General features: G+C 65.7%; 1 protein-coding gene across 15 annotated transcripts in view; it reads right to left on the bottom strand.

Annotated features, from left to right (window-relative positions):
• Positions 1-16,608, bottom strand: part of CACNA1H (calcium voltage-gated channel subunit alpha1 H) — a 68,663-nt gene that overhangs the window by 1,875 nt on the left and 50,180 nt on the right. For 3 of the 15 annotated variants that reach the window (XM_006720963.4, XM_017023819.2, XM_011522724.3), the window contains 24 exons: positions 15,436-15,884; positions 14,629-14,780; positions 13,605-13,790; positions 12,776-12,893; positions 12,464-12,619; positions 12,034-12,124; positions 11,673-11,881; positions 10,482-10,862; positions 9,759-9,859; positions 9,401-9,524; positions 9,243-9,311; positions 8,923-9,107; positions 8,600-8,726; positions 8,288-8,413; positions 8,089-8,178; positions 7,723-7,948; positions 5,963-6,114; positions 4,813-4,922; positions 4,519-4,652; positions 4,301-4,371; positions 2,884-2,962; positions 1,854-1,975; positions 1,243-1,684; positions 764-924 (listed from right to left, as the gene is read on the bottom strand). In XM_006720963.4, coding sequence (XP_006721026.1) covers positions 764-924; positions 1,243-1,684; positions 1,854-1,975; positions 2,884-2,962; positions 4,301-4,371; positions 4,519-4,652; positions 4,813-4,922; positions 5,963-6,114; positions 7,723-7,948; positions 8,089-8,178; positions 8,288-8,413; positions 8,600-8,726; positions 8,923-9,107; positions 9,243-9,311; positions 9,401-9,524; positions 9,759-9,859; positions 10,482-10,862; positions 11,673-11,881; positions 12,034-12,124; positions 12,464-12,619; positions 12,776-12,893; positions 13,605-13,790; positions 14,629-14,780; positions 15,436-15,884 — 4,061 coding nt within the window. The other 12 variants (NM_021098.3, XM_006720964.4, XM_047434836.1 and 9 more) reach the window with 12 other exon arrangements.

The following is a 16,608-nucleotide window of genomic DNA, read 5'->3' as shown; positions in this document are numbered from 1 at the left end:
TACTGGAGAGGCCAAACTGGGCAGGTCCCCTGGGTGGCTCCTGACCCTCGAGATGGGGCTGGAAGCCGCTGGTGTGGACGTCCTAGTCTCACTCCTGACCTGTGAGGCTCCCGGGGAAAGCCTGTACCCGCTGCTCTGTGGGCAGAGATGCCATGGCCCCCAGGGGCACAGAGCTGAGGCTGAGGCCACCTCCCCACCCCTGGACATCAGCAGCCCAGCTGGGCACCCCCAGGATGGGGCTCTCCTAACTGCTCCTGTGCGGTACAGGCGTCTTGTACTGGGCAGCAAGAGGTAGGAAAGGGCAGGAAGAGGAGCTGAGGCTGCAGGTGGGCAAGGCTGGGACATCTGAACACAAGCCAGGACTGAAAAAGCCGCTGTCTGCCCACCACGGGACCCATGCCCACATGGGGCCTGAGAAACTGCCATCTGCCCGCCGTGGGCCCTGGGAAACTGCTGTCTGCCCACCACGGGACCTGAGAAACCGCTGTCTGCCCACCGTGGGGCCTGAAGCTGTGGGTCCAAGAAGACTCAGGTCCCTGTAGCCAAGAGCTCTGTAGCCACAGGCTCACAGGCCTGAAGACGCACCTGGGCCCAATGCTCCAAGATCCACCAAGCAGCAGGCAGAAACCTTCGGAGCCCCAAGGACCCAGTGCGACCCTCCTCCTGCCTTGTCCTCGTCTGCTGGTCCTTCAGATGAGACGAGGCATCCCTGCAAGCCCCCCATCCCCGCCAGCCTCTGCTGCAGGCCAACGGCTTCTCCTACCTGTCTGCAGAGCAGCCGGCTGAGACTGGGGGAGCGGGCTGTGCCCCGAGGGGACAGGGCGTGGAGGGGCTCGCCGCTCCTGGCTGGGGACGACACAGCCAATGGGATCTGGAGGGAGGCACAGGACTCTGCGGGCGGAGAGTGCACAGAGGCAACGGAGCCTGGGGCAGGGAAGAATCTAAGCTGGCAGCTCTGCCCCTGCCTTCCTGCCCAGCTGCCACCCACCCCCGTCCTCCCCCAACCTGCCACCATCCTCCTTCCTGGCCAGCCCCAGCCCGACCCGTCCTCTCTCTCACCTGCCCACACCCAGCCTCCTCAATCTGGCCTCCATCCTCCCTCCTGCCTGCCCCCATCCTCCTTCCCGCCCATCCTTCCTCTTGCCCTGCTCTGGCCTGACCCCATCCTCCCTCCCACCTGCCCCCATCTTCCTCCCTGTCCTGCTTCCCACCCAGCCCATATCTTCCTGCTGGCTACCATACCCAAGGGGGTGCCGGCCCCATAGGTCTCCATCTCCACCTCCTGCAGCGGGCGGGGGTGGGGCGCCGAGGCAGGCACCACGGGCCTGAACATGTAGCTGTCGTTGGGCAGCGAGAGCATCCTGGACACGGACACCTTGCGTGCAACCAGGTTTGGGGCGTCCCTGGCGCCCGGACTCTCCTGGGGCAAGGGAGGCCTGTCCGCGTCCACCCGGCGTGCACTCCCGGGGCCCTGCGCCATCTCCAGCTCGATCTCGGCGTCCAGCTCCGCATCCTCCCGTGCCTCCTTGTTGCTCTCCTCCAGGTGCTTCATGAGCACGGCCACCACCACGTTCACCAGCACGAACTGGGCCACCAGCACGAAGGTCACGAAGTAGACGGGCGACAGGGCCGGCAGGTAGCTCAGGCAGTGCTTGTCCTCACGGGAGCACTCGCGCAGCGTGTCCTGCGGTGGGGGACAGCTGTGGGCCGGGGTCCACACCCACCCGCGGGTGCCACCCTGGCAGTGCCGTCCCCTTCCCCCTGCCCTGCAAGGACGGATCCGACCCGTTCCTGGGAGAGCCTGAAAAACCGCTGGGGCTGCCAGGTGCCAGAGGCATGGCCGCGGCGGGTACCTTCATGATCCCGTTCCAGTTGTCCCCCGTGGACACGCGGAACAGCGTGAGGAAGGCCATGCCGAAGTTGCTGAAGGTGGCGTGCCTGCTCAGGCCCTCGCAGGGGTTGTCTTCACTGCACTCTGCGGGGAGGGAGACCCCGCCCGGTCAGCCGAGCCCGCTCCGGGTGGAGGCGGGACATGCACCCAGCCTCCACATGCCCCTTGGGGAGCCCAGAGGCAGGATAGCCCGGAGGATGTGGATGACGAGGCCCTGGCGGTTCGCCCTGCCTGGCAGAGGGTGACCCTGGGTGTGAGGTCGGAGCCCCTGGGCCGAGGCCCCTGCTGCCGCACCTGGGCTGGGGCTCATCAGGCCTGGCGGCTGCCATGGAAGAATCATTATTGTGTGTGTCTGTGACTGCGCGTGGCGGGGGATGAGTAGGCGCCGGCTGACCAAAATCAAGCTTACCTGGTGGACAGACACTGGACTGTGGCAACGCCACACCCACCGTCGGGACAGGGCCCGGGGGAGGGCCCTGCAGGGACTGGGCTGCCTGAAGTGGAACCCGGCAGGGGCAGGGCTGGGCCGTCTAAGGAGGGTCCCCACCTGCCCCGCCCAGCCTGGGCCGAGGCTGAGGCCTGGGTGGGGGCCTCAGGAGGCTACGGCCACCAGGTAAGGGGAGACAGCCAACATTTGTCTCCTGGGACCATGTGACGTTGGGCATGGCGTGTGTTTCCAGATGTCTGTGTGTGCACGTCTCTAGGTGTTCTTGCTTCCCCTCACGTGTGGCAGGCATCCCTGTGTCTGTGTTGCTGTGTGCACGTCCGCACACGTGTCACAAGCCTGGGCACATGCCTCTGCGTCAACACGAGACTCGGCCTCGTGCAGAAAAGGCTCCGGAAGCAGGGCCGGGTGAGGACGCCCAGGAGGCGTGTGGCCCTGATCAGGCCCCACGCTATTTGCAAGCATGTGCCTGCGTGTGAGTGGATGGGCACAGGGGCGCCTGTCAGGACCCCATGTGTGCCAGGAGGAGGGCGCAGGAGCCACTCACCCAGCCTCCCGAACAGCTCCACTCCCAGCGCAGCATAGATAAAAAACAGGAGCATGAAAAGAAGGCCCAGGTTCCCCACCTACACAAGAGAGAAGCAGAGCTGGGTCAGACGGGCGGGCAGGGAGGCCTCAGCCCACCCTGCAGGGCACTCGGCGCCTCGGCCACCAGACCCCACCTGCCCACCTTCTTCCAGGTGCTCCGGGCCCGGCCAAGTGGAAGCAAGTTCCCAGAGCTGGGCGGGGACCCCTGTTCCTCAGCCCCATGCCCCTCTCGGGGCACCATGACCTCACCAGGTAGACAGAGCCCACCCCTCTGTGCTGGCCCGCACTGGCTTCTCTCTTCCTCTGCCCTGCCCCTGAGCATCAGCCTCTGGCCCAGAGCCCACTCCACACTCTGCCCAGCAGGTTCCCCAAGGCCTAGCATGCTCTTCCTGGGGGCTCTGGCCCGCCCTGTTCAGCGGCTACCTCAGAGATCCCATGGCGGGGCCCAGGCCAGCACGCAGCTGACTGAGGGGTCCCGGCAGGTGGGCCTGGGCCTCACCCCTCCCCTGCCACGGCTCTCTTGTGAGCCACCCACCAGCCCCAGCATTTGCACACACTGCCCCGCTGGGCGGCGCACCCTCCAAGGCTGGCCAGGCCTGTCCTACGCCACGCCCCTTCTCTGCACAGCTGAGCACCTGGTGGAGTGGTACCTGGCCCTCGGGAGTGTTACTTGGACGAAGCTAGGCACGCCGCTGAGGACAGGGTGAGTGGGGACAGCTGAGGTGGGAGGCAGAAGACAGGCAGGGGGCAAGTGACAGATGGCGCAGGGACAGGAAATGGGTGGGAACAGGAGGAGGTGCCGGGTGCATAGGCAGCCGTGGGGGTTGGGGGTGGCTGGGAACATGGCTGGGCTGGTGGATGGACGGACACACGGGGGTTGGATAGGTGGACTAGAGGCTACGGACGGGACAACGTGTTGGGTCTCTTGGCCTTGGAGGACAGAAAGGATCTGGGCAGGGGCCAGGGGCACAGGAAGCAGGGAGGCTGGGCCCATGTGGGCTCCGAGGGGGCCCCGGGCCCGCAGCCGACGCCTGCATCCTGGGTGTATTCCTGTGCCCACACACACCCACCTTGGCCACCTGCTGCCCTCTGCCTGCATCCCTCTGGCTCTCCACGGCCCCCGCCTCTGGAAGTGCACCGGGGAGGGGGCCCCGGTTATGAGTCTTGCCCAGAGGATTGAGGCCAGAGGGCAGCGGCTGGATCCACCTCTGCCAGCCCAGCCAAGCCATGCACTGCACACAGCAGGGACGCAGCTTCAGCCACCACACAACCGAGGGACCAGAGAAACGAGTGAGGGGGAGAGGGGGACGGCGAGGCGCTCCCTGCAACCCCGTCTTCCGGGGGCCTGCGCTGAGGATGGCGCGGGCTCCACCTACCTGGGGGAGAGCTTGCACCACAGTGTCCAGCAGGGCGCGCATGCCCGTAGCCATCTTCAGCAGCTTCAGCACTAGGGCCGGGAGCTGAGCGTCAGCAGGGCTGGGCGGACCCTCCCTGCTGCGCGGGGACCCTGGCCGCCCCGCCCCTCACTCCCACCCATGGCTGAGCCCCCACCCTCCACCCGCAGAGAGAACCTGGCGGGCACGCGGGCACCTACCACGGGCAATGCGAAGCACGCGCATGATGCGGATGATGGTGGGGTTGATGGGCAGCGCGGCGCTCATCTCTATCTCCTCCAGCGTGATGCCCATGAGTGACAGCAGCACGATGGCCAGGTCCAGCTGGTTCCACCTGTGTGGCCGGAGGCTCAGCGCACACGTCTGGGGTCCCCGCCTCGGCTCAGCAGCGTTGCTTCTGCAGACCTCCGTGGGAAAGCCTGCGGCCTCACCTGCCCCCAGCCCCCAGAGCCCTGAGGGGCCCCCAGAACCCAAGACGGCCCCACCACACACACCTGTCCTTGAAGAACCGACGGAACCCAAATGCTACCAGCTTCAGTGCAGCCTCGAAGACAAACACGATGGTGAAGACGTAGTTGCAGTACTTGAGGGCCTCGTCCAGCGACTGGGGGTGGAGGGTCGGGCTGGCTGAGGTGGGGCTGGGGCCACCCCTCTTCCCCCTGGCTCCCACTCTGCACGCCCGAGTGCCCCCGCTGGCCGGCCCTGGAGGCTCCCAGGTCAGCTCAGTAGCTCCTCCCTGGGCACCGGGAGCCTCTTCGGCCCTCCTCCAGCCCAGCATACAGGAAGTGCTCCGTAAGTGTCTGATCAGGTGAATGAGTGAAAGGTACCCTCCCAGCATCCACAAGACCAGCTGAATGCCACTGTCTCCAGGAAGCCACCCTGAGCCCCCAGCCCATTTCACACCCTGCAGCCGTCTGTGCACCCCGATGGCAGTGTCCTGACCTCCCACCCTGTCTTCTACTGACTTGAGCACCTCGGGGACATGGGGACATGGGCTCACAGGGCCCAACTCTGAGCACCGACGGTATGCAGCCTGGGCTGGGCTGGGAGGTACTGCCCAGATGGACCTGGGAGCCCCTCACCCTCTGAGGACGAACCTCCGGAGAGGGAAGATCCTGCCCCTCCCAGCCCAGGCTCCTGGCCTCTGGCCACGGCCATCCTCGGCTCCACACAAAACGCTTTCCATAGAGCTGAGTCTGTTCAGCCTCAAAAGCTTACTGCTACCCAGAGGCTACCTCCTTCTTCTAAAAGGCTGGGAGGACGAAGTCCTTCCGCTGAGGAAAGGAGAGGATGCAGGGGGACCCGAATAAAGAAAAACTCCACCTCAGGCCTGCCTGGCTCCCGCCCCTCCCCATGGGTCGGATGCTCACGTCCTGCCAGCCCCTCCTTGGGTGGGACACTCACCTCCCGCCAGCCCCTCCTTGGGTGGGACACTCACGGCCAGGTTGGGGAGGGGCCCCAAGGACAGGGGGAGGGGAGTTTCAATCAACATTAAAAGACCCGTGTTCACACAAAACCCCACATCCCCACGCAAACCCCAGCGAGGGCTCAGCGGAGCGCCGGTCCAGGGTTGTGCCCACTGTGTTGGCTGCCCCACTGGGGGTGCCCCAGCCCCTGGGCCCCTCGCGGCCCCCTCGCACCCACCTTGGGTTGGTTATAGTGCTCCATGGACATGGTGATGACGTTGACACAGATGATGAAGGTGATGAAGAGGTCGAGATAGTGGCTGGTGCACAGCGAGTGAATGGAGCGGCGCGTGGGCGAGTAGTCGGCATAGTAGGGCCGGCGCTGGGCCTCTGCGGGGAGGGCGGCCATGAGCGCCGGGCAGGAGGGCCGCCCGGCGCTCCTGGCTCCTGCAGACTCCATTCTCCTCCTAGGTGGCCAAGTGTAGGGTAGAAGTTGGGGGCCCACGGCTCATGTGAAGATGGGGCTGGCCCTGCCTCATGGCAGGGCTCACATAAGACTGGAGAAGGGGGACTCTCTCAGGAAAAGGACCCTGTTCTAGGTGAGATGCAGCTCCCTGGGGAGCTGGCTAGGCCAGGAGGCCTGGGCTGGAGCAGGCCTTCGGGGCAGGCCACTGACTAACCTCCTCCTCAGCAACGCGGTTGCGCCAGGCAGCCCCCAGGAGTGGGTATGAAGCTGAGATGGCTCCCCCACATCCCAACTGGGTGCCTGGCAGGGCCCGCCCCCCTGGAGCTCCCAAGTTGGCGCAGCACGTGGCTGGGCCTCTGTGGTCTACTCCTTGCCTGGCCTCAGGCTGAGACACTGATGAAGGGCTGGGCAGGGCAGCCCCACTCCATCTCTGGGTCTGGGCCCACAAGGCCTCACTGGAGCAGAGACGAGAGTGTAACCTGCCCTCCTCTGGCCACCAGCCCAAGTACCTCCCCTCCCCATCCTCCAAGGGGCCATGGGCTGTGGTCTAGGGTCTGCCGGACTCCAGACCATCTGAAGTCGGCGCCCGCCATCTGCGTGTGTCCCCCAGGCAGGTGTGCACTGAATGCTCAGCCTCCAGGGCCCCTCCACGTACGAGGAGGAGCTCCCGCGGGTGAAGGCGTGAGCTGCCACCACACCCCAGGACCTGCCTCGGCCACAGAACCACACACGGGTGGGGACTGCTGGCCCAGGGCCTGGAAGAGCAGGATCCACCCGCCACCCGACCCTCATGCTCTGCGGCCGGCATGCAGTCACTGAAGCACTCAGCGCAGCCCGGGCAGCCGGAGAGGGCCCGCGGCCAGTCAGGCTGGACCAGCAAGGACACAGGACAGCCACAAGCCTGCAGGGGTGTGGGCGGCCCCTCGTTGCTCTGGGTGTCCCGGCGCACGGCGGAGATGCAGGCAGACTGTGAGCCGGGCAGAGCCGCACGCGTGCACGCACACAGCAGCCCGGACACTGGCGGGCGAGCGCAGCCCCTCCTCACGCCACACGCCCAGCACCTCCGGCTGCCTGTGCCCACCCTGCGGAGGACCCCAGCAGGCCTGGGATGCCCGCCCTTCCCCGAGCAGCGGCCGCAGAAGCGGGGCCTGAGGCATGCGGGACAGGGCCGGTACCTGGGCTGGGGAAAGTGCCTGGAAAGACAAGGAGATGGTCTGAGGGCCGAGGGCGTGGCGCACTCGGGCCTGGAGCCCTCCCTGCTCTCCCTCAGCCCCCGTGTCTCGGGGGCTGTGCTGGCTCCTCGTGGAGTGAGGACTCGGTGGGGAACCTGCCTCTTGGGCGCTGGGGATGGGGTTGGGGGTGTCTCCTCCTCTCCTGCCATGGCGGGCTCCCCGACGGCCCTCTCGGGCCAGCCCCTCCAAGGCCCAGCCCCCATGCAGGCCCAGGCAAGGCGGGTGGCGTGCAGAGCCATTCGGGGAGGCCGGGGCGGGAGTGGAGGGGCTGGAGGGCCCGGTGGGCACACAGGTACCGACCCGCCACCGCCACCGCCACCGGGAGCGCCTTACTCCTGCGCCTCCTCTCTAGGCGCCGCAGCCGCTTCTCCTCTCGCCGCCGCGCCTCCTCCGCCTCCTGGTGCTGCCGGCACTTGTGGAAGTTCTCGACCACGACGCCCACGAACATGTTGAGCACGAAGAAGCTGACGATGAGCAGGAAGGAGATGAAGTACAGCAGCATCCAGGGGTTGTGGTTCTGCACAGGCTGTGGCACAGAGGCGGTGGGTCCCCGCCCGCCTGCCCCGCCAGGGGCCCTACCCAGGATGGCCCCCCGAGTCCCCAGAGGCCAAGGCAGCCGCTCGCGGGAGACCCTGAGGTGACCCAGCTCGACCCGCCTGTGCGCACCTGCTGGTCGACACCCACGGCATCCAGCCCGTCGTACATGATGTTCACCCATCCATCCTTGGATGACAGCACGAACAGCGACATCAGGGCCTGAGGGCCAGAGCCAGGGTCACTGGCGAGGGTTAGAGCTGGGGTCGCCGGCCCTCTCGCTCCAGGGTGTCCTGGAGACCCCCAGCTCCCGCCCGGCCGCCCAGCCCACCTGGCCCAGGTTGTCGAAGTTGTACTTGCGTCGCACCCAGCGGTAGTGGGCGGCCCGGCACTGTGCCTTGGTGGAGATGTTCCTGGTGTCGGGGCCCTCGCAGTAGTAGAACTTCCCTTTGAAGAGCTGACGGGGTGCGACGGTCACCGCGGAGGGCCTGGCCTGTGCCCCACCCCACACCGGACTTCCTGGGGCGCGAGTGAGGCCCGAGCTGTCCCTCCCCGTCCCGCAGCGGCGCTGCTGGGAGCCACGCTGGGAAGGCAGACCCTGTCTGCGACGGGGCAGACCCCCGGGCACGTGGGGGCCACACACCTGCACACCCAAAATGCCAAAAATGATGAAGAAGGCGCAGCAGATGAGGACGATGTTCCCAATGGGCCTGAGTGATGATATCAGCGTCTCCACCACCAGCTTGAGGCCCGGGGCCCGGCTGATGACCCTGGAGGGGAGTGAAGGATACACTGCAGTCATCTATGGCAGCAGCTGCCAGGCGCCGGCAGAGCTCAGCAAAGGTCCCAAGGTGGGGCCGAGTGGGCGGCCTGCGAACAGCCCAGGACTGCGGGAGGAGTAATGGGCAGTGGCGTCAGGGGACTGTGCTTCCAGGTTGCCCCGGGAGCCCACGGGGAGCCCCCCACCTCAGAGGCCGCAGGGTCCGCAGCAGACGCAGCACGCGCAGAACACCCAGGATCTTGGCGCCACCAGCCGAGGCCATGGCCACGACAATGTCCACCAGGGACACCAGCACCAGCAGCCCATCCAGCAGGTTCCAGCTGCTCTGCAGGTAGGCGTGCTCGCCGGACAGCAGCCCCAGGGCCACCACCTGCGGAGGGCCAATGGCACTGAGCTCAGGCTCAGGCGTGGGGGGTCTGGGGAGCTGGCGCGCTGCTGGGTGGGGGTGGGGATGAGGGCAGAACGGGGACCTGGGAACAAGGGCAGTCCCCGGGCCCCGCGGTACCTTCACCATCATCTCCGCCACGAAGATGGCCGTGAAGATGTAATTGGAGACGCTGAGGAAGACCCGCTCCTGCCGGGAGAGGACGGTGGGGGGCTGTGTCCACTCCACCCCTCCCTGGGGGTCGTGGTGGCCCGGGACGATGGGGTTGGCTGACTCACGGTGCTGCCGGGATCAATGTCAGGCCTCTCCAGGGCGATGGTGACGCAGTTGAGGAAGATGAAGACGAGGACCACGTGATCAAACATCTTGTGTGTGATGACCTTCTGGCAGGAGACGCGGAACCTGGGTGGGCGGGGGCGGGTGAGAGGTGGGGCGGGGCGGCGTGGATGGCAGAGTGGATGGGGGTTGCAGGACAGCCCTGGCCACGCCTCCACTTCAGCCCCGGTCCCTGCGGTGTGAGAAGGGGTGCCCACTCGGAAATATCCACCATGTGCTAGCCCCACCCAGGAGGGACCTGGGGGCGGGGGTCCCGTGGGGTGGAACTAGCCATGCAGCCTCCTGACCCGGCCGCCTCACCGGTTCTGTGGGGAGAAGAGGTAGAGGGCCCAGGCCTCGCGGCTCCGGCACCACTGGGGCTTGTAGGGCTCCAGCACTTTATGCAGGCGGAGGCAGCAGCTCTGTGGGATGAGGCGGCGGCTTCTCAGAGCCTGCGCCTGCCTGCCCGGCCCCCCATCAGGGCCCTCTGTGCTCAGCTCGGCCACCCCTCCCAGCACCTTCTCAGCCTTCTCCATCCTCACTCCTCACCCGCTGGCCTTTGGGCTCTGGCTTTCTGGCCTCTGGGGCCCATACCGTGGAGCCTCCCCCTTCCCTACGCTGGTGACGGCAGAGTGACCCGTGCTGGAGTCCACGGGGCCAGGTGAGCGGGTGCTCTTGGGTCCCTGACTCTGGGAGTGGTCCTTGACCCACGGAAGCCTGAGAGCCTAGCGGATGCCTGGCCCTGCCTCGGCAGCAGCTCTCGGCCAGTGGCTGACCCACGGCGCAGAGCCCAGCCCCCGTATGCAGGCCGTGCGTGGAGCGTTTAGCTCACAGCCCCTAGACGGCAGAGGGGGGACTCTGGGATCATCTGTGGCTGAATCCCTGAACACTGCTGGATTCCTCCCTGGCCTGGCCTGCTTCTCTCCCCTTCTGAATCCCCTCAGTCAACAACACGCCCTGAATCCCATCTCAAACCCCACTTGAGGGAACCTGCCCCAGACAGACGAAGGCGAGTCGGCGGTGGGCCCAGGGCCACGCACTCACGTCCTCCGAGTCGTCGTCAAGCTCGGCTGCATCCTCACGGTGGCTGTCGATGCGCAGGAAGAAGTCGCTGGGCAGGGCCACCACCTGCCCGTCGCGATCGCGGCACTTGGTAGGCGGGAGGGCGGCCGGCCGCAGGGGCCGTGGGTCCAGGGACTCGGCCCGCCGCAGTGGGGTGGCACGGGGCCCGGGCGCGGCCCTGCCGTCCTCAGCTTCGTCGTCGGTGCTGCCCTTGCCCTCGCCAGACAGCAGGGACTCACGTTCCCCACACTGGCCGCGGCGCTTGAGGCTGGGGGCACGGCCCAGGCTGCTCCAGCTGGAGCGCCGGCTGCTCCAGGCGCCACTGGGGCCCCAGGGGGCACAGGGAGAACTTCGGAGGCTGGCCTGGGGGGTGGCGGGAGTCAGTGACCTGGTGGCATCACTATTAGCACCGACCGCTGTCATTACGGAGCACCCACTGTGTGCAAGCCACACGTGGATCATTTAATGCATAGCCCCGCCAGGGAGGCACGGTGGAGGCTGTGATTTTAGGGGGACACCGAGCCAGCCACAGGCGTAGCTCATGAGGGTCAGGGTGTCCGCCTCGCGGGGGTGATGCCCTGGGCTCTGCTGGGTCAGGGGCCAGAACCAGCCCAGGACCAGACAAAGTGTGGGTGGCCCCCGTGTCCCCAGGAGCACACTGGGCCTGCGGCTCTGCCTCACAGCTGCCCCGCTTCCTCCCCTGCTAGGGCGTCTGGCTCACTCCCATCCTCCGTGTCTGTTGTGGGTGGTACTGCCTGGAGTTCGTTTCAAAACTGCTCCCCTCCAGTCCCCCTGGACCCAGAGAGATGCCCTGGCCGTAAAGGGAATCGGGCTGCTTCTGGTGGCAGCGGAACCCCCGCCTGGCCTGCCGTCTGCTTGCCGGGCACGCTTCTGCCCCTGCTTGCTTCGGTCTTTCTGTGCTGTGCGCTGTGCACTCTGCTAGACTGTTGGGCGCACAGAGCTTCCGCGTCTGCCCCTTCACACCGGCCTCACACAACAGCAGCCACAGCTTCCATTTCCGGAAACCAGAACACTCTTTCTCAGTCTCTGCACAGGCTGGGACTTCAAGGGTGTGGGGGGTGCGGCCCTCACTCATCTTCAGGGAAGGCCATAAGGAGCCAGGCAGGGAAAACCTGAAGGGGCCTGAGAGCTGGGGCAGGAGATGGTCCCTACCGGAGGCTTCTGGTCTCCCAGTGGCGGGTCCCCGGAGCTGCTGCTGCCACGCCGAGAGTCTGGGAGGCTGGGGGCTGCATCCAGGAATGGTGAGCTCTTGGGGGTAGGCATGGGCGTGGCAGCTGTGCACATGATGAGGGGAGGGGACAGGCTGCCTCGTCCCTCCAGGTGCCCGTTGGGGGTCACGGCCAGGGAACACATCTTCAGCTCTGCGGGACAGAGGGAGGAATGGGCCCCTAGAGCTGCCAGGCTCCCAGGACCAGGAATCCCCCAACCTAGGGATTGCCTTATGGGGGCCCTGCCCGGCCAGCCCAGCGTACTCCACCCGCCAGAACCCGGACCACCCACCGACCACACGCACCTGTGGTCTGGAGTTCTCTGAGCTTGTGGAAGTCCTCCTCGAAGTGGACCGACGTCTTGTCCTCGTCCGTGTCGGATCTGTTGGCATCGCCCTAAACCCAACAAAGCACAAGGCAGGCATGAGGGGCCCCGTGAGTGGGGACCCTTCATGCCGGACAGAAGTCTGGGCTGGCCTGGGAGGTGGGGTGTGGACAGAAGGGCCCAGAGGATGATGTCACTGCCAGGGTGGGCAGGTAGGTGAGGAATCTGCCTCTCCCGACCGACCCCTGCCCACTCCGCTGGGCTCCTGGCCTCCCCTCTCCTCATGGCAGCCAGCTTCCCTTCTCTATCCCTCACCTCTTGGCAGGCCCCCCACACCCCTCCCCTCGACCTGAAGCCCGTCTCTCTTCTCATCGCCCTCCTCCTGGCAGCCCCTCTCCCTGCCCCCTCACCTCCGCCTGGAAGCCCTCCACGAGGATGGCCACCAGCAGGTTGAAGAGCACATAGTTGCCGAAGGTCATGAGGGCCACGAAGTAGAGGGCGGCCCAGGAGGAGGTGGAGGCCATGCCGTTGTACAGGACCACGTTCCAGTCCTCCTGGGTCAGGATCTGGGGGATAGCAGGGGGCCTGGGGTGGTCACCCCAGCCCCGAAATGCCGGCAAGTCCTTGGGGCAGAGGCAGCTATGGATGCGCAGGACGGCACCTCCACCTCTCTGGGGACCACACTCAGCACCCAACACTGCTGCGGGGACCCCGGGCACTACCTGGAACACGGTGACGATGGCCCACAGCAGGGAGTCGAAGTTCTTCCTGTCAGGCACGGTGTCTCCGGTGTCTGTCTTCAGGCTGAACTTGCAGCCGAAAAGGTGCATGCCCAGGATGCTGAGGGTGGGGGCAGGGGCGTGTTGAGGGTGGAGGCAGGGGTGTGCTGAGCGGAAGAAGGTGGGGGAGCGGGAGGGGGGTGGGAGGAGGGAGGGGCAGGACTGGCTCTGCCCGTCTTGGCTCTCCTGGCCTCCTACCCTCCCTGGGCGCCCGAGCTCTCTAGCTTAAAAGGGACTTCCTGCCCTACAACTCAGTAGTGTCCATTCCACAGGCGAGAGAACCAAGACCAGAGGCGGGACAGACAGAGGGAAGCCACTCTGGATTTGGGTGGCAACTGGAACCTGGGACACCTGCCTCATTCAGCCTCTCTGGACTGTGAAAGCCCGGCCTGCCTGGCTGCCTAGCCTCCAGCCGACCCTGACCCTGAGCTCCAGGCTAGACGGGCACACAGCAGGCGCTCAGAACACCCCAGTTGGAGCCTGGTGCCTGCCCCCACCCCCGGTATTCTGCTCTTGAGTAAATCCCCAGCTTGTCCACCTGGCGGCCCATCTCTGACCCCTGCCATCTGACTCCCTGCATGTCTAACACGTGGCACACAGTAGGGGCCCAATCAGTGCTTCTCAAATGAAGGCAGCAGAGGCCGAGTGTCTGCAGATGCTCTGGGGCTGCTGGTGGGAGGGCTCCTTCTCCTTCGGGGGGTGCCCTGGGCCTTTGCCTCCCAGCTGCCCTGGGGTGAGACACTGGGCGGGCCGGGAGGGGGGTTGCGCCCACCTGAAGATGAAAATGAAGAGCATGAGCAGCGTGCAGAAGGTAGCCACGTTGTCCATGGTCTTCACCAGCACCACGAGCTGGCGCCGCAGGGCTGGCAGAAAGCGCACCAGCTTCAGCACACGCAGCAGCCGGAAGGTGCGCAGCACAGACAAGCCACCGTCCGCCTGCCCCACGATCTCCCAGACGCTGCGGACAGGTGGGGGCGAGGGTCAGCGGGGCCACGATCCCTGACCCCAGGCCCTCGTCCCACTGGAAGCAGGGTCACCAGCCAGGGAGCCACAGCGGCCTGTGCTGCATCCCACAGATGGGAGAGGGTATGGCTGCATCAAGGTGCATGAACAGCTGCGGAAGCACCTCAAAAGCCGCTTATCCGCTGATGGCCCCGGGGGCTACCCGGCCCCCAGTGCCCCCTGGGAAAGAAGCCTGGCTCTGGCCAGGGCAGGGAAGCTCCTTCGCCGAGGGCGCTCTCCTATCCTGGGCCTTCCACAGCCAGACCTGGCTTGTCCGTTCTGCTCACTCCCTCCCCGCCCCAGGATGGGAGACCCTGCACCCCTCTCTACTCTTGAGGGATGAGCGTCCTCCTAGGGGAAGACCGGGGGCGTTTCCCCTCAAATTTTCCCAATCCTTTCTGGTTTAATTTTCTTGTAGCAAATGCTCCTCCAGCAGCAAGCAGGATTCAGCCTTTTAAGCTGGTCTTTCTCGCTCGGCCCTGAGGCCACCCCACACCTGCTTTGTTCCTGCAGGAAACAGCTCCGCTAGTTTCTAGAAACATCTGAGACGCAGCTGACCTAACAGGTGCGCACCCCGTAGTGCCTGCAGGGAAGCATAGCGTCTGGGGAGGGGACTCTGCCCAGGACGGTCCCTTGGGCCACTGGGGTCACCAAGCACCTGCTTCCCACGGCCTGTCATAAAGAGCTATCGTCGTACTTCCTCCTGTGCTCTGGGTTTTGCTCTGCAGGTGGGATTTCTGCCAGAGAGTGGAGCTTCCCGGGCCCCTCTTCCTGGGGAGAGGGTGGGGACCCACCTGATGACCACGATGATGCCGTCGAAGATGTTGTACGGGTTCCGGATGTAGCCCAGAGGGCCGCAGGCCAGCAGCTTCAGCAGCATCTCCAGGGCAAACATGCTGGTGAACACGATGTTGCTGATCTCCAGAGCATTAGTCAGCTCCTCGGGCTGCAGGCAGAGGTGGGGACAGTTCAGGAGGCCGCACCCGCGGCTCCCACCCCTCACCGGCACTGATCTGGGGCCCCCACCCGTGGCTCCCACCCCTCCCCGGCACTGATCTGGGGCCCCACCCGCGGCTCCCACCCCTCCCCGGCACTGATCGGGGCCCCCACCCGCGGCTCCCACCCCTCCCCGGCACTGATCTGGGGCCCCACCCGCGGCTCCCACCCCTCCCCGGCACTGATCTGGGCCCCCACCCGCGGCTCCCACCCCTCCCCGGCACTGATCTGGGGCCCCACCCGCGGCTCCCACCCCTCCCCGGCACTGATCTGGGGCCCCACCCACGGCTCCCACCCCTCCCCGGCACTGATCTGGGAGCAGGTTTGGCTGCATCAAGACCCAAAGGGTCAAGAGGGCTGCAGCAGCATCTCAAAAGGAGCCTAATCAGCTGCCGTCTAGAGAGGAGGCCAGGAATCCAAGGAGATCCCCTCCAGTGGAGGCTCGGCACACCTGGTCTCCTATCCTCACCATCCCCGGCTTTCTAGAGCCCTGCCTGACCGTCCTACCATCAGGTCAGGCATCGGGGCTGCTGGAAGCCTCCTGAGACTCCCCAGGCCCTGCAAGCCTGACAGGGAGCCCACCCCGTGGCCAGGCCAGCCCGCACCTGCTCATGGTACTCCACGCCCATGCTCAGCGTGTTGACAAGGATGGCCATCATGATGCCACGGCTGAAGTACTTGCTGTCCACGATGCGGCGCAGCTTGCCGCTGAAGGTAACCCAGAGGCGGCCCATCCAGCCTGGCTCGCCCGGGGCTGCCCTCTGCTGTGCCCGCCGCTGGGGGCTGCCTGGGCCTGGGCCTGGTGTGTCCGTCGCACGGGGTGGTCGCGTGGGGTCCCAGCGGTCACCGTGCCGGACGTCCTGCGTGAATTCATAGACGCCACGGCCATCTGAGTCTCCACTTTCCGAGCCGCTGAGCTCACCCTCCGGGTCCTCCAGGGCACGGGTGCAGTACGGGCAGCTCTTCAGCTCACAGGTCAGTGTGCCCGCTGGGGGGCTGGGCAGGGGGCAGGGCACACTGAGGCCCGACAGATGGCCAGGGGCCTGGCCCAGTCCTGCGGGAGAGGGCACAGACAGGGGCAGGCCCACTCAGTGGTGCTGCCACAAGGGCCCGGGAACCCTCACACACAGGAGCGGTGGGGTGAATGTGTCCCCCCCAGAAAGATCCATCCAGAGTCCAACCTCCAGAACCTGTGACTGGACTTCACAGAAAGCAGGATCTTTGCAGGTGTCATGGGTTACAATGAGGAATGAAGCTATCCCGGAGTAGGGAGGGCCCTGAGCCACGACTGTTCCAATAAGAAGAAACCAAAGAGCCATGTGAAGACAGAGAGACCGCAGGGACGTGTCGACAAGCCGGGGACTTGCAAAACCGCCAGAACTTAGGAGAGGCGAGGAGAGTTCTCCCCTAGAGCCTCCAGAGGAAGCAACCCTGCAAGGCCTGGATTTTGGAGCACTGGCCTCCAGAGCTGAGTGATTTTCCGCTGTTCTAAACCCACTAGTTCGTGGGTACAGCAGCCACAAACATCAGAAAAACCATACATTTGGGCACACACCTGGGCACACACACCCAACCCCCACAGCCGCATTCCTGCTCACGTACTGGGGCAGGGACACACTTAGGTGCAGAGACGTTTGCCTGCCTTGGGCTGTGCCATCCACAGAAATATAACAGCAGCCACTTCCCAGCAGCCACAGCACACAGGCGAAGTTAGCTACGGGATTCTGTTTGACTCGATGCGAGCAAACCATGGTTACTCCAACACGAAACTGACATGA

Source organism: Homo sapiens, chromosome 16 (assembly GCF_000001405.40).
Source record: "Homo sapiens chromosome 16, GRCh38.p14 Primary Assembly".
Taxonomy (NCBI): domain Eukaryota; kingdom Metazoa; phylum Chordata; class Mammalia; order Primates; family Hominidae; genus Homo; species Homo sapiens.
This window is presented reverse-complemented; position numbering and strand designations above follow the sequence as displayed.